This window comes from Homo sapiens, chromosome 1 (assembly GCF_000001405.40).
Source record: "Homo sapiens chromosome 1, GRCh38.p14 Primary Assembly".
In the NCBI taxonomy this organism is placed as follows: domain Eukaryota; kingdom Metazoa; phylum Chordata; class Mammalia; order Primates; family Hominidae; genus Homo; species Homo sapiens.
This window is the reverse complement of record NC_000001.11, coordinates 149,125,287-149,153,233: the sequence shown is the minus strand read 5'-3', so window position 1 is coordinate 149,153,233 and position 27,947 is coordinate 149,125,287. Positions and strand designations below refer to the sequence as shown.

At 39.9% G+C, this 27,947-nt stretch overlaps 2 long non-coding RNA genes across 2 annotated transcripts; one reads left to right on the top strand and one right to left on the bottom strand.

Annotated features, from left to right (window-relative positions):
- Positions 1-1,047: 1,047 nt before the first annotated feature.
- On the bottom strand, positions 1,048-24,499 carry LOC102723348 (uncharacterized). Its single transcript, XR_001737754.2, has 4 exons — positions 23,585-24,499; positions 15,783-15,855; positions 2,404-2,557; positions 1,048-1,552 (listed from the first exon to the last, which is right to left on the bottom strand). It is a non-coding gene; the product is annotated as an uncharacterized LOC102723348 (long non-coding RNA).
- LOC124904405 (uncharacterized) lies at positions 10,500-13,324 on the top strand. Its single transcript, XR_007066577.1, has 3 exons — positions 10,500-10,661; positions 12,098-12,253; positions 13,107-13,324. It is a non-coding gene; the product is annotated as an uncharacterized LOC124904405 (long non-coding RNA).
- Positions 24,500-27,947: the final 3,448 nt, after the last annotated feature.

The following is a 27,947-nucleotide window of genomic DNA, read 5'->3' as shown; positions in this document are numbered from 1 at the left end:
CTAGGTTGGCAAAAATGTTTTTAAGTACTTTAAAGAACAGCTCTATAGTTCCTGGCCATTTTTTTCTTACTTACATAGATTCGATGAGGAGTCTGCAGTATTCTTGATTGTATGTAGTGGGTTTTCCCCTCATGAGCTGTTCTGCCCCTCTCTCTCGGTTCTCTTCTTCTGGCACTCCAATTACATATACAGTCAACTCCTTGACGCTTTCCCAAGTGCAGTGCTGGAGACTGAAGATTTAACTGCAGTGAGCTTGGACTGTGAGGATTGAAGCAGAGCCAAAAACTGACAGACAGTTAGTAATCATTGCAGATGTTTGCTGAACAATTGCAAGGTAGCAGGCACTATTCTACTTTTCACCTGTAGAATTCTGACTTATCCTCAAGATTTATCTTGAAATTTTCCAGAAAGCCTTCCTATACCATCCTTTCTCACCCTAACCTCTACCTCACCTCTCACACTAGGTTAGGTAGCCCTCTTTTTTAGTTTTACTGCACACTGGGTTTCCAGTGTTTTTAAATCTACTACTCTTTATTCTATTAGATCTTTTTATTTTTAATCTCCATGGCTAGGCTGTGAATTCCATGAGGGCAAAGACTATGACTATTGTCTTGTGTCATAGTCAAATGACCTCTCCTTTGCCCAGGGTGTGTTACATTCTCAATGTGTATTTCATGAAAGAATGGATGAATAAATGGTGTCTCCCACTAGATTGTGAGTTCCTCAGAGGCAGAAATTACACTTTTCCCATGTTTTCGTGACCCTGGTTCAATATATATGATTGATGAAAAAGAGCATTTCAGCAATTACAGTTTTTGTTTGTTCGGTTTTTGTTTTTTGTTGTTTTGAGACAGGGTCTCGCTCTGTCTCCCAGGCTGGAGTGTAGTGGCACTATCTCAGCTCACTGCAACCTCTGCCTCCCGGATTCAAGTGATTCTTGTGTCTCAGCCTCTCAAGTAGCTGGGATTACAGACGCAAGCCACCATGCCTGGCTAATTTTTGTATTTTCAGTAGAGATGGGGTTTCGCCGTGTTGGCCAGGCTGGTCTCTGACTCCTGACCTCAAGTGATCTGCCCTCCTTGGTCTCCCAAAGTTCTGGGATTACACTAAACTCGTGGGAGGCAGAGAAGCAACAGCTAACAGAAGTGGGGAGGAGGCACTGTAACAATTACATTGAGGGCCATCTTTGTTTAACATCAGAAGATTACAGGATAAAATTATTTGTCATGTAGTGAGCCAGGGGTAGAAATCCTGTTTTAAAACTGATTTTCTGTGGCTTCAGCAAATCATAGAATTGTGAGAGCAATTACCCAAAGCTCCAGTGGAAAGGAAGAGTCAGTCTTGTTTGCATACTTGCCTGGCCTAGATCTTTTCATGATCTTTCTGCCACCATGTTGCTGAAGAAATCTTCACTCCCTTTACCTGTGTGTGTTTGGGATGGAATTACTGAAATCCTTCCTGAATTCTGCTTACGTGAAATGTTACTCCATGTGGTTTTAATTCCATGAAGATATTTCCTCCAGTGTATGTGAGTTATATAGGTTGGGAATAACTAGAAAAAGAGATGACTGGGTTAGAAACAGGAAAGAAAAGGAAATAAAATGCAACAAAACAAAGCACAAAGCAGGCAGAACAGGCAGAGGCCCTGCAAAAGGGCTTTGGGCAATGGAGGGGAGTGCTGAGAGCCAGACGATGTCTGGACATGCATTAGAGGGGGTGAGTGCAGGTCTTTGGGGAATCTTCCTCTGTCCCTGTAGTCACACTGTCCATCAAAGGTGGCAGACAGGCCAGGCACAGTGGCTCACGCCTGTAATCCCAGCACTTTGGGAGCCCAAGGCAGGCGGATCACCTGAGGTCAGGAGTTCGAGACCAGCCTGGCCAACATGGTGAAACCATGTCTCTACTAAAAATACAAAAATTAGCCAGGCATGGTGGTGCACGTCTGTAATCCCAGCTACTCGGGAGGCTGAGGTATGAGAATTGCTTGAACCCAAGAGCCGGAAGTTGCAGTAAGCTGAGATAGCGCCACTGCACTCCAGCCTGCGGGATAGAGTGAGACTCTGTCTCCAAAAAAAAAAAAAAAAAAAAATTGGGGGACAGACAGACCTTCACTCCATCAACTCAACCAGGAATCTTGTGGAGAAACCCCCTAAGAAGAAAAAAAAAGCAAAGGAACATGTCTCTCAGTGGGTGTATTACCCACGAGGAACGAAAATGAATGTACGGGAGTCTGGTTGGAACAGACAGAAGGGGAGATCCTGAGAAGATTCTTCCAGCAAAAGATATTAACAGGAAATGGGCTTCAGAGAACCCAGTAAATGAAGATGTGCAAAATGCCTTGTATAGCCTTTTTTAGTTTGCCTTTATTGCTGTATTGTAATAGATATTAAAATAGATATTTACGAATGTCTTCAGGGTGAGTCACAGCTCTTGTTTCCCAGCCCTCCCTTTCTCAAGTCTTCCATTCCTCCATTGCAAGTTTTCCAGCACAGATATTTTCAGAAGCTGGATTCCTGTATTGGGGAAGTTGTTCTGCACTTTAATCACCGACTTGTACCTACACAAGGGGAGAGGTTGTAACTCGGGGAGCTAATGTAAAGAGAAGCTGTACCATTCAACATATGTATATGAATGTTGTCATTTTTACTTTACATGCATTTATTTGCTTACAGAAAATTGCATAGTGCAGCAAATCTATAAAAAGTCAAGCTTTATTGTCAAGAAGCTTAGAGTGACCAAAGACAAAGGGAGACCCATAATATGCTCATTACTGCTTACACTTTTAACTCGAGCTAATCATATTCTTATGTTCGCCACATGTACACATTAAAGAAAATGTCAGTAATTACTGAAGAATTTAACATAATGAATCCATGTAAAAACAAGGGTTTAATTACAGCATTTACACAGGTTACAAACTCTAACATGCCTTTGTATAAGAGACAATCAGATCCATACATTTTGTTTTCTAAGCCATTTTGGGGAGAAAAAAAAACCAGCCCTTGATATTTGAGTCATGCGAATACTCTGGGGTTCCAAGATAGTACTCTGGCATTTTTCAACAAGGTCTTTTTCCTCACTATGGAGAAAGCATCAGTCGCAGAGTTCACAGTGTGTAGTCACATGCACTGAGAAATGTGCATGCATCTGACCTCACACCGGGATACTTCTCCCTGTGTGACCAGTTCCAAAGACGTCTTCTCAGTTTAGTTCCAGGACAAGCTAAAGTGAAATGTTGACTTTCAGTTTCATCAACTGCTGATGTTGACCACACTCCAATGATGGAAAGAGTTTGAGGTCACAGCAGTTACTGGGCCAGGGAGCCTATTTTCCTCAGGAATCCAAGAGAATCAAGCCCTCAGTATGGACCAAGAAGCAATATGGACTTATCTGATCTACAAGATGAAAAGTATTCAAAATTGGCTTTAAAAAATAGTCAATTTGGTTCTGGAAATAAATTGTGAGAATTTCTGTATCTATTTCTATTATCTTAAAAAGTAGGCACATATCTAAGTGTTACTAATATTGAACATGTAGACTGATTCTGGACTCCCCACTCAGGCTGCATGTCAGAGATTTGCATAGCAAGTGAAGTCACTGGTTTCCTGAGAAATGTGGGCCCTGCAGAGGGCAGAGGAGTTCCCACAGCCCCACTCACAGGATCTCTTGCAGCTATTGTTAAATGGCACAGTCATCTTAACCATGGCAAGTGAATTCAAGGATTAAATTGTCTACTTTTGACTAAACTAACTTCACAAAAGGTTAAGTGGGTTAAAAAATTTCCTACAAAGAAATACCAAATTTAGATAATATGATAATTCAAGAACAATAAAATATCAGAGCTACATTTCTTCAATTAGTTGTATATACTCTTGTCAACCACGTAGCAAAGTTGAAAACAATGGCAAGGAGTCAGCCAAAAATTCTACATTATCATCAGGAAAGCATTTTGAAACATAGGTTATATCCATTGTCATCAATGTCAACTCACTCTAAGTGCATATTCTAACTCAAGATTTGAAGTTGATGATAGTATTCAGGAAACACGTACGATTTGATTACTCATGCTCAAAGCCATGTGTTATTGAACCAGCCACTTTACAAAATTTAATTAAACTTAATGATGAAAATTAAAAGTCTCTCTGAAAGATCTTATCAAAGAGCAAAAGACAAAAGCCACTTACTATTGGGGGAAATGTGTTCCTTATAATATGCAAGCTTATTTTCCCATCATTTTGATCAAAACAGAAGAAAAAATATATGAAAACGTATAATAACAAGCTTAATAAATAAAACATGCAAAAATATGGTGTGTTACTTATTTTAACATGAATTTCTATGTATTTACAGTTATCTGAAACAAATATAAAATAGTTTGGATCCTTGTGATCGGTCACAAACTTAGAAAGCCTGCCCTTTACATGCAGCAAACTTTTAAAATTTTTGCATATAACAAGCTTTTAACTGATTAAAGTAATGCCACTCTAGTTATTTATGAAATACATCAAAAAGGCCGGGCATAGTGGCTCACACCTGTAATCCCAGCACTTTGGAAGGCCGAGGCGGGCAGATCATGAGGTCAGCAGATGGAGACCTTCCTGGCTAACATGGTGAAACCCAGTCTCTACTAAAAAATACAAAAAATTAGCTAGGCATGGTGGTGGGCATCTGTAGCCCCAGCTACTCTGGAGGCTGAGGCAGGAGAATGGCGTGAACCCAGGAGGCGGAGCTTGCAGTGAATTGAGATCATGCCTCTGCACTCCAGCCTGGGCAACAGAGCAAGACTCCATCTCAGATAAAAAAAAGAAAAAGAAAAAGAAAAAGAAATACATCACAAAGTAGATGGTATTTTATTTGGATTGATAGATTTATCATTTATAAATGCTTTTCTGTAGTATTCATTTTGTCCATAAAGCACAAAGATGCTAAATCATATACAAATTCTTCCAGGTACTTGTCAAGTGAGTTGATTTTTGTTTTCTAACTATGTAGAAAGTTAAATTCATCAGTTGCTTCTCCAGACGGACCCATTTCAGGTCTCTTGACTACCATCACCTATGTGAGCAGAAGGATTCAGGGGATCCTTGGTGGACTGCTGAAGAATGAAGCATGTGCACCCACTTTACTTCTACACTTTGGCAGCTGTAGAACAGAGACAGTGGTGGTGCAGGATACATCCTTGTATCTGGGAATTAATTCCTTTCCGAGGTGTATACTACTTAGTTTGTGACTAAAATCTACGGGCTTCAGTTTCCTAGTCTTGCTAAATTGGAAACATGTTAATATCTATGACTGTAGCACATCACAAGTAAAGATAAATGAGAAAATGTATGCTTTGGCTGGGCATGGTGGCTCACGCCTCTAATCCCAGCACTTTGGGAGGCCGAGGCAGGTAGATCGTGAGGCTAAGAGATTGTGACCATTCTGGCCAACATGGTGAAACCCTGTCTCTACTGAAAGTACAAAAATTAGCTGGGTGTGGTGGCGGGTGCCTATAGTCCCAGCTACTTGGGAGGCTGAGGCAGGAGACTCACTTGAACCTGGGAGGCGGAGGTTGCAGTGAGCCAAGATCACGCCACTGCACTCCAGCCTGGCGACAGAGCGTCACTTCATCTCAAAAAAAGAAACCAAAACAACAACAACAACAAAAAACAAACAAACAAAAAAAGGACAATGTACGCTTTGTAAACTTTAAGTCTGGGAGATGGCTAACATTATGGGGGAAGACTTGGCCAAGACAGCCCAGAAACCACAAGGTGAATAACAGCACCCAGAACAGAAGGTCCACCATGAAGATAAGGACTTAATCTATCAGGAAGGATTAAATGTAACCGTCAAGAGTAGGCTTGATGGAGGAGGGTGAATCTGAATGGAGCCTTGAGCTACAGTGGGGTTTACAGCACAGGCAAATCCTGGTGACTGCATGCTAGATGAAAGGAATTGGACAAATGAAATAACTGAGGCAAGAGAGGTTGGGCATGTTCAAATTCGTATCTGTATTGCATAGATAGCTTAAGAATGAAGTAGAGCCAGAAAAAACATACTAGGCTCAGATTACGGAACATGTTTAATGCTAGGCTAAGAACTGTGTTCTATTATATATGCAAAGAGGATCCATGATCGCTTTTTGAGCAGAAAAATCACCCAACTTAATGTGATGTTTTAGGAAGATACTTGGGTAGCAATGTGGAAGAGGCACTGAAGCAAGCAGATTGAAGGCAGATGCTACGTATAAGACCATAAAGCTTTTGCACTGGATTTGATCAGTTGCAATGAAGGCTTGAGTTTGGATGGTGGTCTTGGGAAAGTTCAAAAAAAAAAAAAGGAGAGGAGGGGTCATAACTGAAAGCCATTTTATCATGACTAAGAAGTCAAACATGTTAATAACCTCAAGAGATATTGGAACAAGCAGAAAATATTCCTCTTTTGTGCATCCATACTTTTATTAAGAAAAGCTTAACGGAGCTTGAGATATTTATAGAAAAGGCCAGTACCATGAGGAAGGAGATGTGTTCCTAGAACACGTTTAAAATGATAGTGTTCTTTAATTTTAAAATATGATGGAGGATAGTTTTCGAATTTTGTGTCGCAGTTTTTGCAGTTACTAAAGCTTCCAAATTCTAAAACCACATGGTAGTCTGCCAGCTACACATGGAGCAAATAACCTGCCCTGATGCTCCCCACTTGTAATCCAGCCAGCAAGCCCTGTCTCTCCATTCCCAAGGCTGTGTTCACAGACAGCATTGACCAAAACCAGCCAGTTCCCCCCAAACCCCTGCTGCACAGTATCTGACAGATATCAGTGATGGCTTATCTTCACTTGTCTTTCAACCCCTCTTTATTCTCTACCCCTCTTTATGCACCCCAAAACTGCCAATATCTCTATAAATAGCATGACTCTGGCTTTCCTGGGCTTGAACTTCCATGTGGATTTGGCTGACGGAGATCAATGTAAGGTGATGGGATGCTCAGAAGACAGAGAGTTGGGGGTAATTTTCTCCCACTCCTTTTCTGCAGTGGGAACTGCAGTGATGGCAACAGTATTCTCTCCACGAAAACACTCCCTGCCTCCTGCTATGGTTTCAATATTTGTGTCCCTCCAAAATTCATGTTGAAACTTCATCCTCAGTGTGACAGGATTAAGATGTGAGGCCTTGAGGAGGTGATTATATACCCTTATAACAGCACTCTAGGGGACTAGCTAGATCCTGTTTGCTTTTATATTCCTTCTGCAATGTGAGGACACAGCAAGAGTCGCCATCTTGGAAGCAGAAAGCAACCCTCTCCAGCCCCCAGATCTGCTGGCACCTTGATCTTGGACCCACAACTGTGAGAAATATGTTTTTCTCAATAGACTACATAGCCTCCATGTCCATGTTCTGTTAATGCAGAACAAACAGATTAAGACATCCCACAGTTCGGGCATTGACCAGTGCCCTCTTTGCCCACCTTTGCTGCTGGTAGCCTGTCTTGCAGATACCCAGTGGCTTTACAGAAGGGGAGGTGGCTTCCTGGAGGTTCTCACACAGTGCGAGCTGAGAGATGGCGTGCTGCAGGCCTGGAGCACTCCTCTCCAGCATGCAGAATGACTGTGGAGCAATGACCAATGTATGACTCTGTCTCTTGTGTGACCATGTGCTCCAGTTTTCCCAGGACATAATAATAATAATTTCTAACATAATTATTAACAACAACCCCTTTCACCGTCAAAAGTGACCTGACTTAGATAACTGAATTGTAAGTTCACTCCACCTTTTCCACAAAGCCAGAATACTAGAACACACGGTCAGAAAACAAAAGGGTGAAATTGGGTATGACCTCCCTCAGTCTTACACTGATGGGATCTGTATTTTTCATTCTTAATTCCTTATACTCAGTGTGTTGTGAAGTCCTAGGGCCAAGGGAAGAATTTTGCATCAAGAAACATAGTCCTGGTTTCGTTCAATGAGAACCTGAGACTGTTCTATAATCATGTTGGGCTTTTCATGTTACGAGATAGAGAATTCCTATTTTGAACTGGCATTTTACAGTGCCGAAAGGATGTTGGAGTGTTTGTATACAATGGGAGCAAAGAAGATTACATCTAGAACATGGGCAATTTACTGGGGCTCCTTAATTCACTAGTGTCCAAAGATAATGGTTAGTGGGAAACTGTAGCTGTAAAGGATTTGCAGTCTATTGGAATGAAAATTTTGGTCATACTACTAGTTTAAAATTTCTGATAGGGAAAGGTGTTGGTAGAAGGTAAAGGGAGCATTGATAGGTGATTTGAAAAAATGAAAAAGAGGAGCTGACTATCAACATAGAACATAGACCAACAGCAGAGGCAGAACCTATATCAGCTATTGTTTACTTGTGCTGATTAATGCCTTCCTTCCCTTTATCATGCTGCCTGATCTGAAGAGTACTGGTGGAACTAACATTACAACCTAGGTTCCAGGTAGGGGTATGACTGAGTTGATACCAGCCCACCACCATACAGTGGCAGGTGCCCTTTGTAAGTAAGGAGGATAGTAAATGTTATCCTCCTTACTCTACCATTGCACTGCTAAGTAGGCTTTTATTTTGCTGTATTTGCCACCTTTAAAATTTATCCTTCGCACTGTAGTCATAACAAGTGAGGTAATTAATGAGGCTTCCTTACCTTCACTATCTTTCTTCACCTTTGACAAGGTAAAGTTTATTATTTCTATGTTATTGGGGCATACGACATTTCCAGCCTATTCTGTAACCCTAATCCACATTTGGTTTCAGTCTACAGTAAAATACATTCAATACTTACAACTTTTTTTTTTTTTGCTGTATTTTACCAAAGCATCTTCCTTTAATTGGTTGTTATTGTTTTCCTTCCTTCTGTAACCAAATGTATTGCCCTTTTTCTCCACATACCCATGTTTTTGTTCTCTCAAAAACATTAATGAAAATATTTTTCCTGAATTCCTGCTTGATAAAAACTGCAACAAATTGTAATATATCATGTCTGCATAGTAAGACTAGCTTGGCTGCACATAAAAATCCTTGGTTGGCATTGAGAATCTTGTTGGTCTTCCCTCATGACCATCCAGCTTCAGTACAGCTAGGGGAGCCAGGACAGCCTTCTTCATTTCTCCTGTGAGTGACTTATTCTTTTTTTCTGGCTGCCCAATAGATACCTTATTTTTTTTAAGTCCAATACCTTCATTAAGATGTGGTTCACTTTTTGCCTGTCATGAATGGATATACCTTGCTTCTGATGTGCCCTTTTGAAAGGTAGATTCAAGTCTTCATGCATTGCACAGAAGTGTTCTTGAATTATAATTTTGAAGTATTTGTTCTGTCTCTTTTGGTTTCTTCTTTGGATGTTCCAGTAATGTATGTGTTCAATCCATTTGTCGGTCTTCCATAGTTCTCATTTTCTCTGTAATACTTGAGTTTTGCTTTTCAGATGTTTGCTTAGATAATTTTTGTATAAATGGGTATCTATTTCCTTTTATTTTTTGTAATATACTACTAAATGGCTTGGGTTTTCCTAGATAACTACAGAGGTTCAGAGAGAGAATTAAGACAACCTTCTGGGCCTCACACCAGAATGGCTCTTTCCTACTGGGCTATCACAGAGACAGACTGCTTCCTGCAAGTATGGCTCCTCTGGTGATTCTCTGTGTGGTTGAATCTCCCTTGTTCCTCCCTTGAACAAAACTGGGTCCAGGAGGGGACTTTTTCTGGTAGACTGTGTACCCTGGTTCCCACTCCTGTGGTTAAAAAAAAGGGGTATAAGTTTTGAACATGGAAGTGAACTCCCAAATTTTCAGGGAGTACATTTTGTTGGTGTTTTCTGAGATTATCAGCCATTGGCCTCACTACCTCCATACTTCATTTACTCCCATGTGGCTTGTGCCTGATTCCAACTAGATTTGGTCATCTCTACATACGTTTTGAAATCTTTGGATTCTAACTTTTTCTAGTTTCACTAAGGATATATTTGGTTCTTTTTTTCTCCATTTTCCTTGTTGCTTTTTTATGTGTTCTGGAATAATATGAGGAAAAATGCTGACTTTTACAGCCTGTGTATACAACTACCTCTACAGAAAATTTTAAGATATATATTAGCTCTTTATATTCACACAATAACTTTGCAAATAGTCCTAGTGTACAAAGCTTATTCCGATATCTTGCTGTGTTTTTAAACAAACATATATACATATATGCTGTGATAGTTGATGTTGAGTGTCAACCTGATTGGATTGAAGGATGCAAAGTATTGTTCCTGGGCATGTCTGTGAGGGTGTTGCCAAAGGAGATTAACATTTAAGTCAGTGGATTGGGAGAGGCAGACCCTCCTTCTATCTGGGTGGGCACCATCTAATCAGCTGTCAGCACAGCTAGAATAAAGCAGGCAGAAGAAGATGGAAGAACAGACTTGCTGAGTCTTCTGGCTTTCATCTTTCTCCTGTGCTGGAAGCATCCTGGTCTCGAACATCAGACTCCAAGTTCTTCAGCTTTTAGACTCTTGGACTTACACCAGTGATTTTTCAGGGGCTCTCGGGCCTTTGGCCACAGACTGAAGACTGCATTGTTTACTTCCCAACTTTCGAGGTTTTGGGACTCGGACTGATGCACCACTGGCTTCCTTGCTCCTCAACGTGCAAATGGCCTATCATGGGAATTTATCTTGTAATCATGTGAGTTGATTCTCTTTAATAAACCCCCTTTTATATGTACATCTATTCTATCAGTTCTGTCCCTCTAGAGAACCCTAATACACATGCATACACATATGTGGTCATGCAGACATGTATACATGCATGCACACATATGTGACCACATGAACATGCATACACATATGTGATCTTTGCCATTGTGGATGGCTAGGATGATTTTTCTCAGGAAAGGTATCTGTGTTATTAGAAAAATAGCCCTGGTTCTCATCCTAAAGTCATAAAAATCAGGAGGTAACTCAGTAAAAGGAGACACACACACACACACACACACGATGTTATATGTATAAGTGATTTAATATTTTATATATATAATCAAATCCTTGAAATTGCCCTTTGTATTAATCAGGGTTCTTTATAGAAACAGAATCAAGAGTATGTGTGTGCGTGTGCGCGCATGTGTGTGTGTGTGTATATATATACACGTATATATTTAATACGTGTGTGTGTGTGTGTGTGTATATATATATATAGACAGAGAGAGAGGGAAAGAAGGAGAGAGAGGGAGTTTATTATAAGAAATTGGCTCATGTGATTATGGGGGCTGAAAGTCTCACGATCTGCCATCTGCAGCTGGAGACCCAGGAGAGGCAGTGATGTAGTTGAGAGAACCAAAGTGTCGATGGTATAAGACCCAGTCAAGAACAGCACAGGGGGCTGATGTGTCAGCTCAAGCAGTTAGGCAGAGGGTGAAGTCACCCTTCCTGTGCTTTCTGTTCTATTCGGGTCTCAGTGAATCGGATAATGCCCACTCACACGGTGGAGGGCCACCTGCTTTACTCAGTCTGCTGATTCAAACGCTAATCTCATACAGAAACAGCCTCACAGGCATAACCAGGACCCATGTTTAGTCTGGGCACCTCATGTCTAAGTGAATTTGACACAAAAATTATCCATCATGCCCAGAGTTCTTAATGAAAGTTTCAATGACTGAGGCCAGTCCTGGGCCGCTAATGTTCGTCCAATATTGCGTCTAGTTTTACCATCCCTTCCGTTTGCCAGAAATAGAAACAGAAAATGTTCTACATGTTTGCACCACCAAATAATGAATAAGCAATCAAATGCCGTTTTGATTATTGACCTTCTAGCTTTTACAAAACACAAAACTTGCACAAATAAAGATACTACTGGAAGCCAAGGAACCTAGAGACACATGTAAATTCTCTTTATCTCTGCTCGATGCGTAAAGTATTCCTATTTAAGAGTAAATTTCCTCTTGTTTCAGTGAAAGATATTTTTAACTGATATTTTTACCTTCAGCAAACACATAAACAGTGAAAGTTATCCCAAATATTGCCATTTTCAATTTCCAAAGGAGCTTATGCTAATTTCAGAGGCATCTCTATGGTTTATATGTATATTTAATATATAAGGCAGGTCCTACTATCTCTATTTTACAGAAGAAGAAACTGAAGTTGGAAAGATCAACAAGCTTACCTGAAGTCACAGGGCGGGAGAGTAAAGGAGCAGAATTTTCAACCTAAGTTTATATGATTCTAAAATTTTCCACTACCATGCTACTAAAAGAAATTACTCAACTAGTTCTTCCTGTTCAGGTAAGTCAGTTCAGACTTTGCTAATTCTGAATAAAGGGGACAGAAGTTATGATGCTGTAACTATTTGACATAGACTGTGTTAGATTAGAGATGAGAGGCAAAAATCTGACCCTAGTATATTTGCTTTCATTGATTCCAATGTCATCTTTAGGTTTTTGTATATTTCTTTCTGATTTTAACATATGATCCTTTATTTTCTTCTTACTTTCCTCCCTTCCTCCTTTCTCTGTCAAATTGTTTTCCTCTTCCTCCTCTTTTAAAAATTCTCAAAATTTGACTATAAATTGCTTTTTCTTCTTTGCTCCTTTTCACAACTCTTTCATTGCCACAAGGCATTCAGGTAGAAAAAAAGGCCAAGGTAGTCTGCAGTGTGCTAGCTATTTACCCAATTGACCCACCATATCTTTTACATAAGCAAATAAATTAACAAGTTATGTAAATAATTTATATTCAAGTATTCAGAAGTGTCTTAGACATGTTTAATATGCTACCAGTAAACTCCTTTTAGGAGGAGACCACATGCAGCTTTAGAATAGAAAATAGAAGAAAGGAAAAAAATAAACAAACGAAGGTTTTTCTCTGCAGTCTTTATGCAAGCAACGACTTATTTCTTAAACTCTCCCCTTTGTGGCTATCACTCAAAGAAAATAAAGAAGAAAAGCTACTGGCTTTCTAGTTTAAATCACAGTCTCATTATTCTGTAGGTGAATGGGGAGGGGGATTGGAATCATAGGTCCGAGTGGGCAGTAACTTGAAGTCAATGGAGATATATACAAAACAGAAGCACAATCACGATCCAGCAGTTCTGGAGCTGCTAACTTTTTCTGCCTTTTTCTAAATGTCCAATAATAAGGTTCTAATGGAGACTGAAGATCCATCACCTGCTCCACATCTCCAGGGGGCCCATGTGTGCATCGCAGTGCAGATCATACATGCTTCTTTCCCCTCCCATGGCAAGGGGAATACTGAATGATGACAACTCACATGTGTAACCCAAGGGCTTTGCTTGGGTTTGCAAGGACTAGTGCACAATACATTCTTTGAGTGTTATAATAACATTAAGTCAATGCATGAATTATAATCCCTATTTCACAAGTACAAAAACACATTCAAAGAAATTAAATTCCTTGCTCACCAGTTATTGACAAAAATTACAATATTTATGTTTCTTTTGAAAAATATTATAAAGATTCTCAAATTGTCTAACCAATCATATTATCCGTATTTGTCTCTTCTCAATCTGCTAATAAAGACATACCCAAGACTGGGACATTTATAAAGGAAAAAGGTTTAATTGACTCACAGTTCGGCATGGCTGTGGAGGCCTCAGGAAACTTACAATCATGGTAGAAGGGGAAGCAAATATGTCCTTCTTCACATGGCGGCAGCAAAGAGAGGTGGGAAAAAGGAGGGAAAAGCCCCTTATAAAACCATCAGATCTCATGAAAACTCACTTACTATCAGGAGAACAGCATGGAGGTAACTGCTCCCATGATAAAATCACCTTCCACCAGGTCCCTCCCATGTCAGGTGGGGATTATGGGAACTACAGCTCAAGATGAGATTTGGGTGGAGACGTAGCCAAACATATCGTTATCTTGATAAGATATTGCTTTGGATTGAATCGTGTCCCTGCAAAAATCTTATGTATAAAAGTTCTGATCCCTGATGTGACTGTTTTTGAAGACAGGCAGGGCCTTTAGTAGGCACTTAAGGTCAAATTAGGTCATATGGGTGGGACCTCAGTCTACTAGGACTGGTGGCTTTATACTGAAAGAAAGAGACAGATGTCTCTCCCCTCGACCTCACATGTATAAAGGCCACATAAGGAAAAAGCAGCCCAAGCCGGTAAGAGGCCCCAACACACGCCAAACCCTTCCAGCTTCATGATCTTGGACTTCACTGCCCCCAAAACTGTAAGAGAATGAAATTCTGCTGCTTATGCCATCCAGTCTGTGGCATTTAGTTACGCCAGCCTGCACTGGCTAATGCAGATATTCAGAATCAAATGAGTCATCCCAAGCAATTTCTCAGTATATACAGCACAGATTTCACCTTCTAAACTCACCCTTGTCTTCGCCTTTTTTTTTTTTTTTTTTTGAGACGGAGTCTCACTCTATCGCCCAGGCTGGAGTGCAGTGGCGCGATCTCGGCTCACTGCAAGCTCCGCCTCCCGGGTTCACGCCGTTCTCCTGCCTGAGCGTCCCGAGTAGCTGGGACTACAGGCGCCCGCCACCACGCCTGACTAGTTTTTTTTTTTTTTAATATTTATATTTTTAGTAGAGATGGGGTTTCACCGTGTTAGCCAGGATGGTCTCAATCTGCTGACCTCGTGATCCGCCCGCCTCGGCCTCCCAAAGTGCTGGGACTACAGGCATGAGCCACCACGCCTGGCCAGTTTTTCTTAATTATTAAATAATCTTTCATTGATTTAAGAAATATTTTCATATGTTTCCTATTCAGGCCCAGGCATTGTTTTTTTGTGCTGCAGACAATGTGTTAATAAAAGCTGTCCAGCCTTGTTAATACATCATGATATTTATATTTGACAAATCCTCTACTTAGATATGTATCACCTCCATAATTTTTTGGAGCACATAAATTTTTTGAACCAAATGGAATAAAAAGCTAGATATATATGTATAATGAATATATTTGAAACTTTGTACTTTGCTTTACAATTTGCAAAAGAACATCATATACAGTGTTGTATTTGAGTCTCCCTTAAGCCCTATTAAGAAGAAATTTTTCTATTTCTGCTGTTCAGTGAAGAAAATGAGCAAAAAAAGGTGCAGCAACTTCCCAATATCCCATATTTACAAACATAAAGGAGTGGGACTTTAATGTAGACTCTTGGTGTCCAAGTTTGTGCTCTTTATGCTTCATGACACCAGGTAAAGTGCAATGAGCACAGCAAATGTGCCCCCTCAGGAGCCAGCTAAGACCTTCCGGGGGCTTCTCCTGGAAGTACAGAGTCTGCGACCCCCATCCTAATTACACAAGCATTGGCATCACTGTCTCACAGTAAAACAAAACAAAACAAAACAAACAAACAAAAAAACAAAGAAAAAAACAAATACAATCTGTTCAGCAGAGTAATTGTACATAACACAAAAGAACTTCTGGGAAAAACACGGAACGCATATTGAAGTCAGAGGCTTAGTCATGTGAAAATAAAAGGTCTTGTTGGGTGCCTAAGTCTTGTCTTTGCTAACAGCTGTTTTCATGCAATACCAGTAAACCCAGCCAAAGGCATTCTAGTGAGCAACACAGGAAGACTCCTATACACTTCAATTTTCCAGCAATCCATAAAATTGAAACATAAAAATAGGATTCTATTTCCCTTGTTCATTCTATATCTTACCAGTACTTATATTTGCATATGTGTAGAAACTCAAGGTTTACAAAGCATATCCACGGTCTTTATTGTATTTCATGCTCCACAAAATGTTGCAAGGGACTCAGACAAAGTCCTGTTTGTACTATGTTACAGGTGAGAATGCTGACATGTAGAGGGGCAAGTACTTACCTGATCACGTTGTCTTAGTATGATGAAGCCTCACTTAAACCCATGATCTCATGTCTTCTCTTAAACTGATGCACTGAAATACAGTCAGGTAAAATAAAGAGTTAGGGGCACATTTTAAAATACATTTAAGGTGCAGCAAAGATTTAAACCAATCACTTGTAACATCTCTATTTGTCAAACTCATTGGTGATCATTAGCATTTAGAGAGACCCAGGACAATTGCAAGATTCTAAATAATTTTCAAACCATAGTAGAGGATACTTTGTTTACTGTTATTTATGTATTAAATATCTTTTAATATACTATAGCTTTATAAGAACAGATAATCCATTTTTGGAATAAATTTGTGTTTTAATTGGCCAAAGAGTTAAATCCATTTTTTCTAGATCCTCTGGATAATTAGGAATCGGTAGTAAAAAGCAATTGCACTTTTCCAATAAAATAATATGCTCAGTTGTTCAAACCCACATTCTTGATAAAAACAACTAGAAATTCTGCATAAGATAGAAGAAAAAGAAGATTTTGGAGCAACAAAGAGCATACAAGATGGTAAGGAATTACAAGACCAAAATCTAAGTGATGTCTTGATCTCAGAAAAGAAAGCTAAATGTTGAATTCCCTTTGGCCCTTGGAGAATTCATGAAAGCAGTGAATTTGAGCTTCAGTTTTTCAGTTTCTGTGGAGTGATATGGAAGAAGGAAAAAATCTCAAGTCCCCAGCAACACGCATGTGATAATAGAAGACTTTCCCCCTATGAAACAAGACCTCCAAAGAGCTATAATTTCACAATAAGCATAAACCAAAAGTAAACCCACACTACCTCACTCCTGCTTCCATGTGTCAGCAAGGAAGTGTTCGTTGGTGCTGAACAAAGCATGGGGAAAATGCTGCTGTTGCATAAATTACAATCTCAAAAACTCAAGCTATAAATTTAGTTTAAAACAGTTCACAATACCTAATAGAAACAAATGTGCAGTTCCTCCTCATCCTGAAAGAATCTCCACAATAATATTCCAAGGAAAATAATGCACTCACAGCGTATGTATGTATCACCTATATGATGTATATAGCTGATAGATAAGTACATATGTATCATATATATATATACATATAACCGTTACAGAGAACTAGAAGAAATAGTGGAGAAAGAAACAGTTCTACAAAGACCCTAGATTTAAAAATAATCAGAGAAAAATGTTGTAAAACAACTCTTCTCATAACGCCCAAAGTTGGAACATACTTGAAACAATCTCAGCAAAAGAAAGCTGTCAAATATGCAGCCATAAAAAAGGATGAGTTCATGGCCTTTGTAGGGACATAGATGAAGCTGGAAACCATCATTCTCAGCAAACTATCGCAAGGACAGAAAACCAAACACGGCATGTTCTCACTCATAGGTGGGTACTGAACAATGAGAACACTTGGACACAGAAAGGGGAACATCACACACCAGGAGCTGTCGTTGGGTAGGGGGAGGGGAGAGGGATACCATTAGGAGATATACCTAATGTAAATGACAAGTTAATGGGTGCAGCACGACAACATGGCACATGTATACATATGTAACAAATCTGCACGTTGTGCACATGTACCCTAGAACTTAAAGTATAATAATAATAATAATAATAATAACAATAATAATAAAAGAAAACTGTTAAAAATGACCAGCATGGAATCTCTCTTCCCCACTGTCAGACAACATTTCAGTGGTCCCTGTAACTATTGCTCTGGTCCTGAATAAAATCTTTCTCGCCATGCTTGAAAAAAAAAAAAACAGAATTGCAAAATATGTCTCTGACAAAGGACTAAAATCAAGAATCTACAAGGACCTCAAAGAATTCAAGAAGAGAAAAAGAAACAACCCCATTAAAAACTGGGCAAAGGACATGAACAGACATTTTTCAAAAAAAAAAAATGCGAGCAGCCAACAAACACATGAAAAAATGCTCAGAATCACTAATCATTAAAGAAATGCTCATTAAAACCACAATGAGATATCATCTTATATCAGTCAGAATGGCTGTTATTAAAAAGTTGAAAAAAGAAAAAAACAGAGGTTGACTTGGATGCAGAGCAAAGAGAGAACGCTTATACACTATTGGTGGGAATTTAAATTAGTTCAAGCTCTATGGAAAACAGTATGAAGATATCTCAAAGAACTGAAAACAGAACTACCATTTGACCCAGAAATATTCATAACTGGACACCGACCCAAAGGAAAACAAATCATTATAGGACAATACCTTGACAATAGCAAAGTCATGGAACCAACCTAAGTCTAACCTATGGGTCCATCAATAATTGATTGGATAAAGAAAATGTGATATATATACACATCATGTAATACTACACCACCATAAAAAATAATGAAATCATGTCCTTTGAAGCAACATGGATGGAGGTGTAGACCATTATTCTAAGTGAATTAACTCAGAAACAGAAAATAAAATACCGCATATTCTCACCTACAAGGGGAAGCTAAACAATTGGTACACATGGGCATAAAGATGGAAATAATAGACACTGAGGTTTCCCAAAGGGGAGAGGATGTGAGTGTTGAAAAACTACCTATTAGGTACAATATTCATTATTTGGGTAATGGGTGAACTAGAAGCCCAATCCCCACCAGTATGCAATATACCCATTTAACAAACATTCACATGGACCCCTTGAATGTAAAATAAAATAAATATTTTTTAAATGACTGGAATGTTTGAAAAAGGAAACAAAGAACATTTCTAAAATAGAAAGATGCAAAAAATAAATTTTTAAATGCAATGGCTGTTCACTATTTTGTAGTAGCTAAAGTAGGTACTAGTGAATCCAAAGATCAGTCAGAAGAAATTATGTAGAATGCATCACAGCAAAACGAGGCAGTGAGACATTTTACCATATTTTTACTTGGATTCCTAAACAAAGAGGAGAAAGAACATAGAACAGAGAAAACGTTTGTAAGTAATATTTTAAGATAATGACTGATACCCTACATCAAAAGAAAGCCAACGGGAAGTTCCTAAATCTATAGAGGGTACACAAACATAAAACTACACTTGAACATGTCATGGTGAGTTGGATGAACCAAAAACAATAGTAAAACCAAAGAACAACCACACACATGCATAAATCCACAAGGTAGTGAATAAAACAGCTTACTTTCAAGGCGGCAGAATGGCATTGACCACTAACTACTCAACAGAAATGATGAAAGACGGATGCCAGAAGAATGAGATCACCAAAGTGCTAATAAAAAATAATTGCCAACCTAGAATTTCTAGGACCCACTTTTTAAGAGTAGGATGAAATGCAGACATTCTTGGGCAAACAAAAAAAGAGAGTTTATCTGCAGCATATCCTCAGAAAAGGATGTAATTAAATCAGAGAAAAAGATGAGGATCAAGAAGGTAGGAAACATGGAAAAATCATGACAAGTAGTTTTTGCCATTAAGAAAAAGATGAAACTAATTAATTCCACAAAACAAGTCAAGAATAACTCGTGAATTAGAGGGAGCAGAAATGGAGTTGCCATCTTCAAAGGCACTCGTTTTCAGGAGATGTATACAATTTTTGGAAAAACTTGTATTTGAAAAGTTAAGTATGCATTTTGCAATTTTCAGAGAGTGAAAGAATAGCAACAAAATACTTATAAACTAGGAAAGGAAAAATCTTGAATAAGAAAATAATCTATACCAAAAAAGCCACATTTAAGTACTATGTTTATTTTGTTAAATTAATTTAAATTTTAAAAATTTATCTTCACTCTATGCAATAATATTTGTGAAATTTTGACTCTGGTGTGTAAATTAACTTGTTTACTGCATTGAATCCTTTGTCATTTTTGTAATACTTTGATTATCTCCATCTAAATATTCAAACATCACCTCTTAACATAACCAGTGGTACACTTTCCATGATTTAGATATGGTGGTCTGACTAGCGTTGAAACTTGAGAGAAGCTAGCCTCAATAACAGGACCCAGGGATAACCATCTAGTTCTCCAGCGAAGGGCCTTAAGCCCTCTGGGGGTCCACATTGTTGGTTACTCACTAATCAAAGATGTGCCCGGCCCCTAGTTTTCTCCTCCCTGACTCAAGTTCATGTCATTCAACTCTCTGCCTGGTTCACGGACTCATGGTATTCTGCCCTACTCCTGCTGCTTGGCTATCCACCAGTTACCAAAAGCTGAAGTTGATGCAACCACGTGAAATTTCTACAAGACCCTCCCCTCTTTGGGCTCCCATCACATTGTCACTACTGCCAGATGTCATCAGCGTGAGAGAATCAGTGGTGGTCCACAGGAGCATCTTGTTGTCCCTCCCTAAATGATACCAGCACCACTTTCCTCCCAAAATCAATGCTCCCAACCACAATACCCCCCTTGGCTTCACTTGTGTTCCCAGCAAGCCATCAAAACTAGCACCAAGGCTCTCTCTAGGAGGCTATAAATATGTATGTTTTCCTTTTTTCTGTCTTTAAATGGTGAGTTAACACAAACAGACCTACGTACACCAGACCCCAAGGTATCAATCTGGATCCCTTCACAGGATCCTTTGACATTTTCCATTCACAGAACCAAGAAAAAAAAAGCAAACTCTGAAGCCCAGCCCTTCCCTCCTCTATTCCGGAGCAGGCAGCTGATGGGACGCAAATGGGGCTGCTGAGCTTCAGGGTGGAAATGGAAGCCAGTGCCTTGTGCTCCTTGTGATGTGAAACGTGTTGCAGCTGCGCAGAGAAACAAGAGTTTTCACTGGACACAGTGCAAGGAGCAAGCAGGATGCCTTTCATGGACAGAAGCTGCATCTGTCTATACTTCAGCCATTCAATCAACAAACATTTCATGATCATCAGTTACTGCTATGAAAGGTAGATGCTGAGGGTAAAACAAGGAACAAGATGAGAATGCCCCACTCCCATATGGCACATGTAAAAGCATAAAAGTCTATCTGAATCATTTTTGAAACAGAAGGCCCATGACATTGCCTGCTGAGTCCACATTGGCTCTTGTTTGTGGATACCAGCACATATTAAAATTATCTGAAATATTCAGTTGTGAGCCCCCTCCCCTGATATGGTTAGGCTTAGCGTCCCCACCCAGATCTCATCTTGAATTGTAATCCCCATAATCCCCATAATCCCTATTTGTCAAAGGAGAGACCAGGTGGAGGTAATTGAATCATGGGGATGGTTTCCCCCATGCTGTTCTCATGATAGTGAGTGAGTTCTCCCAAGATCGGATGGTTTTATAAGGGGCTTCTTCCCCTTTGCTTAGCACTTCTCCTTTCTGCCACCTTGTGTAGAAGGTGCCTTGCTTCCCCTTCACCTTCCACCATGATTGTAAGTTTCCTGAGGCCTCCCCAGCCATGCTGAACTGTGAGTCAATTAAACCTCTTTCTTTTATAAATTACCCAGTCTCAGGCAGTTCTTTATTACAGTATGAAAATGGACTAATACAGTGAGAAAAAAATAGCTCTGGAGGGCTGGGTTACATTCAGGACATGTACTAAATATTTTAATGCATTTTTTTAGCAAGAACGTAAAATGTCTCCCCCGAGGCTTTAAGCTCTCTTTCTACTTCCCTAAAGGTTTCCCCATCAAAATAGGAAATAAATATTGAAGCTAGAAAAGGCTTGTCCCCTTCAAAGTAAGTAAGGGCACGCTTCATGACAGGCATATCTTTCTTCAGACAGTGGGGGAGGACACTTAATTCTTTCACCTAAGAAAAAAAAAGTTACAAAACAGCAACCTATGGAAACAAAAACATGGAATCAATGCATCTCCTGAAATAACTTCCCTGTAGTCCTGAGGGTGGTGTTTTGTTTGGCTTGTTCTCCTTCCCACCTTTTTATACCCACCAAGGATCCTTCTCCTTCTGTTGTAGCCAGGGCTCCTAGAGAAGGCTGTCAACATTGAAGGGCCCAGATCCCTTCTACCAGTTTTTCTTGTGCTTCCTATGTGCTTGTAACTGTGAATCTCCTGCTTTTCCAACAACTCTTCTGCCTTTTGTATGGGTATACATTAAAGGGGAAAATCAGGGCCTCTTCACACTACTCTGGCAAAATCAACCTGAACTGCTGGATTATAGGTCTTGGCCTCTGGAGCTGCCTGCTTGAGCCCTGGCAGGTCTGGAGGCTTGGGGCTCTTTCATTGACTCAGGAAATATTTCTGCTTCCCACCCAGGACTTCTGTTGTCTCTTCCTCCCTTCTCCTCCCCTGCTCTCAGGACTCTTAGATGTAGCCCAGGTTTGCTTCCACACAGTTGACATTGGCGGTGCACGGTCTTCTCCCCTCTATGCCCTCAGATCTCCACGCCTGTGCCTATGACACGTGACACCTGCACCTGTGTTGCCAAGCCTGGCTCCTCATCCGTGGCCACTCCTGCCCCCACAACCTGCCAGTTCTGCCTCCTTTTTGCCTGCCTCCTGCCTATCTTTACTTCACTGATTTCTTCGGCTGGAAAATATTTCTACAACTTCCCCTCCCACACTCACCTGGGGCTATGACATTGTTGTGCGCACTGGTTGGGCCTCGCCCCTGCCACCTAACAAGTACATCCTACAGGCCCAGGAGGGCATTATCTGTGGTTTTGAATTTCTAGTGTCTCGAACTGTACTGGCCCAGAGAGGACCTCAAATATGGAAAACTGAAGTGATTGCTTTCTGCACGTGTTACCTATGCACCCATGCATAACTCACACAAACTTACTGAATCTTCATTTACTCTTCTGTAAAAGGGGAGTAATCAAAGAAATGCACTTTACTAACAACAAGAGGATGGCATAGTTTATCTTTTAAACTGATAAAGATGTTCTGAAATAAGAATCTATGTTTTCAAGGGTACAGGACTTTGGTAGTTATACCATGACAGTAAAGATGCATATTTTAGGAACTTTGTGGGGGATAATTTGACAATACACCTCTACATGTTTACATTGTACATACCCTTTGACTGACACTCCACTGTTAGAAATTTGTACTAAGGAAATAATCAGACCTACAACATAAGCACTTAGCTATAGGAATACTGGTCAAAGAGTTGTTGATCATACTCAAAAATTAGAAACAATCTAAATATGCAATAAGAAATATTTAAAATAAATTATATTGCATTCATCTGATGTAATATTATACAGACATTTAGAAAGCTCTTGTAGCCAAAGGATAAGTAGGTTACCTTTGGCATATTAAATGAGTAAAACTGATACTAAGTTGATATACCCATTGTGATATAATTTTCTTTGGTTCTTAAATATTTTTATATACCTAAGGAAAAAGATTAAAAGCTTATGAAACCAAAATATTCACAGTTTAGTTATCACAGTCTAGTGTGATTATGAGTAATTTTTATTGTTTTAATTTCATATTTTTCTGTTCAAAGTTCCATTGCTTGTTTAATTAAAAAAAACTTTTAAATAATATTATAAAATGACCATCACAGAAAAAAATATCATTAGGCAATATTGCCATGACTATAGACCTTTCTCCCTACACTGTTATTCTTACAGTTGGATGCTTTGAATCGGGAAGTGATATATCGCCTTGCTTTTCGCTGGAGAAGGAAGCGCCAGCCTTTGTGAGCATGTGTATCACAAGCTAACTAGCACGAAGATTGCATAGCTCTTTCTACATAAGGCTACTGTTCGCAGAAATTTGGTCCATGGTCTCCAGTCTCTTGGGGTCTCACGCTCTGTGAAAATCTTCGTGTTTTTCCCTAGCCCCCAGAGTCACCTTTCACACAGCGTCTGCTTGTAACCGCGGTCCCCACAGGAGTTTGTAGGATTTCTGTGCCAGCGGTGAAGGTGTTCTCACCTCATAGAGCAAGGTAGAAACTACGCAGACAGGCGCTGTTCTTTGGGATGAAAGCAGGGCCTTTGGGGCTCTTTCTTAGTGTCCCCGTTCGGTCGTAGACATAACACGCTTGCTTTGTGTAGGAGATCGGCTCTGCCGGCGCCCAGGGGCCCTAAAGCAATTCATCGAGGCCCGCAGGTCAGAACTGCAGTCTCACCTGTCTTGGCGGAAATGCGCTGCGCTCCTCCCTGTACTACATAAGCACGAGAATTCCACTACAGAAGAAAACCCCAGGCCTAGTGATGGCGGTTCTGGGCATTTTGCCAGCTTCTCCCAGGGTGTGTTTTCTGACCCCACCCACTTCTGATCTGTAATGTCATGGTCAATAGAAACTACTTGGCCCAAACGGAAAAGGCAAGGAGGAACACAGCGGGAAAGCCTATGGCGTTCCCTGGTGGCTACCCCGGGGACTGCACTCATAGATCCGCGTGTTCCGAGAAGCCTCTGCCATCCCGACCCCGGAGCCGTGCAGAAACCCGCGGCTCCAAAGAAAACCGGCTAGAACGCACAGGAAGCCCAGCCAGTGTTCAGGACACTGCGAGTGGAAGCCGTACGTCCCACGGACTGATCTAGTTTGCTGAAGAGGAGCCATTTACTTCTAACCCCAGCAGCGGACATTGCCTTGCTCAAATATAAAATATATGAACCAAGACCGAAAGCAACTCTTATTGCGTTACTGATGAGCAAACGGGTTTTTAGAATGGTTAAGAAATGTCCCTTGTTTTGGGACCGTCATCACTAACGTATGCTTGGGATTCCTGATCGAGGAGTTTCTGAGCAAAGCAGCCCACCAATCCAGTGGCTGAGAACGGCTTGGATATTGGCTTCCAGGCGCATCAGAAATACCGAGGTTCTGACAGAGACGTGAGCTTCTGTCTGCCTTTGGGAAGGCCTTCTTCCAGTCCTGGCGCTGCCGCTTGCCTTCTGTTTGACCTGGGGCCAGGTCCTTCAATTTGCTAGGCTTCAAGTTGGAAAGTGTTACAGGAAAATAATAATACGAAGTACTTCTTAGAGTTATTGCACAGATTACAGAAGATAGTCTAATAGTACAGCTAGCATCCTGTATGGCTTACATTAAGGATTTGCTGATAGGAAACAACATCCCAGATAAAGTTTTTTCCCCTTAATTATGAAATATAACAAAGGAAATTGTGTAGACTTATGCTTCAGGCCTCTGTAACATTTGAATGAATTTTGCACTTGTGAAGGTGACATCATTTTACAAAATCAGTTAATACTAAAGAATGACAAGTGGAATTTACAAAACATATATTCACAAAAAGAACTTGTTCTTAGCAGCTTTGTTTACAATAGTCCCCAAACTGGAAAAGGTTCATATGCATCAAGAGGTGAATGGACCTATTGTGATATATTCATCCAACGGAGTACTACCCTCAATAAGATGGGACAAATTATGGAAACATGAGATAGCATGGGCCAATCTCAAAAACCTCATGCTGAGTGATGAAAAGAGTGCATTCTATGTGGTGCCATCAAGGTGAATTTCTGGAACAGGTGAAACTAACCTGTATAGTGGCAGAAAATACATCATTAATTGCTGGGGTCAGGGAGTCGAGGGGACTGACTGCAAAGGGCACAAGAGGACCTTCTGGAGTAGTAGACATGTCGTCAAACTTGAAATGGATGCATTGTACCATATTCAACCAATGCCTTAATCAATTTGATTGTAAAAAGTAGTAAGAAAACCACTGCAGGCTGGACGCGGTGGCTCATGCCTGTAATCCTAGCACTTTGGGAGGCTGAGGCAGGCGGATGGGAGGCGGAGGTCGCAGTGAGACGAGATCGAGCCACTGCACTTCAGCCTGGGCAACAGAGCCAAAAAAAAACAAAAAAAAACAAAAAAAAACCTCCGTCTCAAAAAAAAATAAAAAAAAAAACACAGCAAATCATAATGCATTCTACTTAATTTAATGTATGTTTAGCTTTAGAGGATTCCTTTAGAAAAGCATCTCTCTAAATGTGATTGAGAGTTCAGGAATTCCTTCATTTCTGTTTCTGTCTCTTTGTCTTCAGTTAAATTCATGCACTATTAAATGGAATATTTGTAAAATAAAAATAGAGTCTAAGTTCAATTTTACAAAAGCATATATATCTATGTGTGTATATATAATATATAGCTCCCATATATATGTGTGTGTATATATAGAGAGAGCTTTATTTATTGCGGGGGGGACAGTCTAGCTAAAATATACATTCTTCTCTCTGTAGATATACCAGAAGAACATGACTCGATCAGAGTTGCCCTAATGTTAACAAAAGTTATTTTGAACTTAAGGTGATCAGAAATTTTACCTATCTGTACTTTTTCTGTATTGGTGGTATGGTCTATGCTAAGCGTGTATAATTTAAAAAAAAGAGAGTAACTTCAAAATGATTTGGAAGAAAAAATATGTACATATGTGAATAGTACTTAATTCCAGGTGATGGGAATATGGATGACTGGTTATCTTCTTCTTTCTGTATCTTTTATATTTTTAAATGGAAAAACTCAACGACCTGGAAGTGAAAGAACAGATTTGGAAGAGGTGTGGGGCAGGTGAGAGGAAAATGCAGAGTGAAACTCTGTCTCAAAAAAAAAAAAAGTTACTTGTAATAAAACTCACCAATTTTAAATCTACGATGTAACCATTTAAGGAGGTTTGTAGAATTGTGCAGTCATCAGCAGAGTCACGTTTTAGAATATTTTTGTCATTTCCCCAAATACCCTAAAGCCTCTGCACAGTCATTTCCTAATCTCTGGTGCCCATGACTGGGCCCCAACAAAATAAAAATTTGGAAATCCGACATCATTAAATTTCAAATTTTCTTAGATTGGGATTTTCTGTAGTGAATCATTGTCTTACTTTTGTGACATTTGAGGAAATGTTGCATTTTAGGGACTTTTTTGATGAACTTAATAATAGTCCTGTTCATTGCTCTTCGTGAATTGTTTCATTTTTACCGATAACTGATAGTTGCTACCAAACCTGGTCTGGCAAGCCTAAATGAATGAGCTAAAAAAGAAAAAAATCTGCTATAAGAAATAGAGATAGATGATGAATTTGCACATAAGATTATGTGGAGTTAGTATTGTACCATCTTTATTCTTTCAGAAATTTGGTTGGTAACATTACAGATACTCCTCACATGCTTGGAATGCCTCTCATTATCTTCTTCAGGTTGCAAGGGCTCCAGAATAGTGACATAAAGGTGAACGTGAGTGCAAGATTTTTGCTGTAGTTCTTTGCTTTTTAATTTTTTTCTCTTAGAGGGATTAGCATCCATGTATCTGAAATAATAAATCAAGAGTAGAGATAGGCATCTGTACCAGTTTTCTATTGCTGCCTATTAACACATGCAACAAACTAGTGGATTGAAACCACAGAAGTCTGGAGCAGAGGCTGGGTTCTCTGATAAGGGTTTTAGGAAGCTGAATCCAGGTGTGTCTGGCTATGTAGTTATGTGGAGCTCAGGCTACTTCTCCAAGTTCACTTCAGGTGTAGGAGGAATTCATTTTGTGGGAGTTGAAAGACTGGGTTTTCTTTTTCTGTGCTGGCTGTCCCAATAACAGCTCATGGAGTCCTTCTCAAGCTCCCATTCTTCCTGACGTTACCTTCTTCTGACAGCTAGAGAAACCACTGGCATGTATGCAGTGATGTGATTAGATCCAGTTTACACAGGTAACCTCACCATCTTAAAGTCATATAACTGGCTTATAACAACATAATCACCAGAATGATGTCTCAGCACCTTAACAGGCTTTAGAGACAAGGGTGTGGCATGTTTGGGGACCATTTCAGAAATTCCGTCTACCGCAGTTGGACACTCACATTCCCCCATCTGCAAAATACATTCACCCTCTCCCCTAAGGTTTCCAAATTTCATGTCATTAAAGCGTTAGTTCAAAGTGAAAAATGGTATGTAGACCACACCAGATCAAAAATTTAAAATCTTATCTTAATCATCCACACCAAGTATGAATGAGGCTTCTGAGGGTGTCCTTGACATAATTCCCTTCCCTCTATCAACCTGTGAAACTGAACAAACAGCTTATCTGCCCTCAGTGTGCAATGGTGGGACAGACATAGGAAAACGATTCTTTTTTTTTTTAATTTTTTTATTATACTTTAAGTTTTAGGGTACATGTGCACAATGTGCAGGTTAGCTACATATGTATACATGTGCCATGCTGGTGTGCTGCACCCATTAACTCATCATTTAGCATTAGGTATATCTCCTAATGCTATCCCTCCCCCCTCCTAGAAAAACAATTCTAGTGATTCTTGTTCACAAACGGGGAAAGTGGAAGTAACAAAGAAGTCAC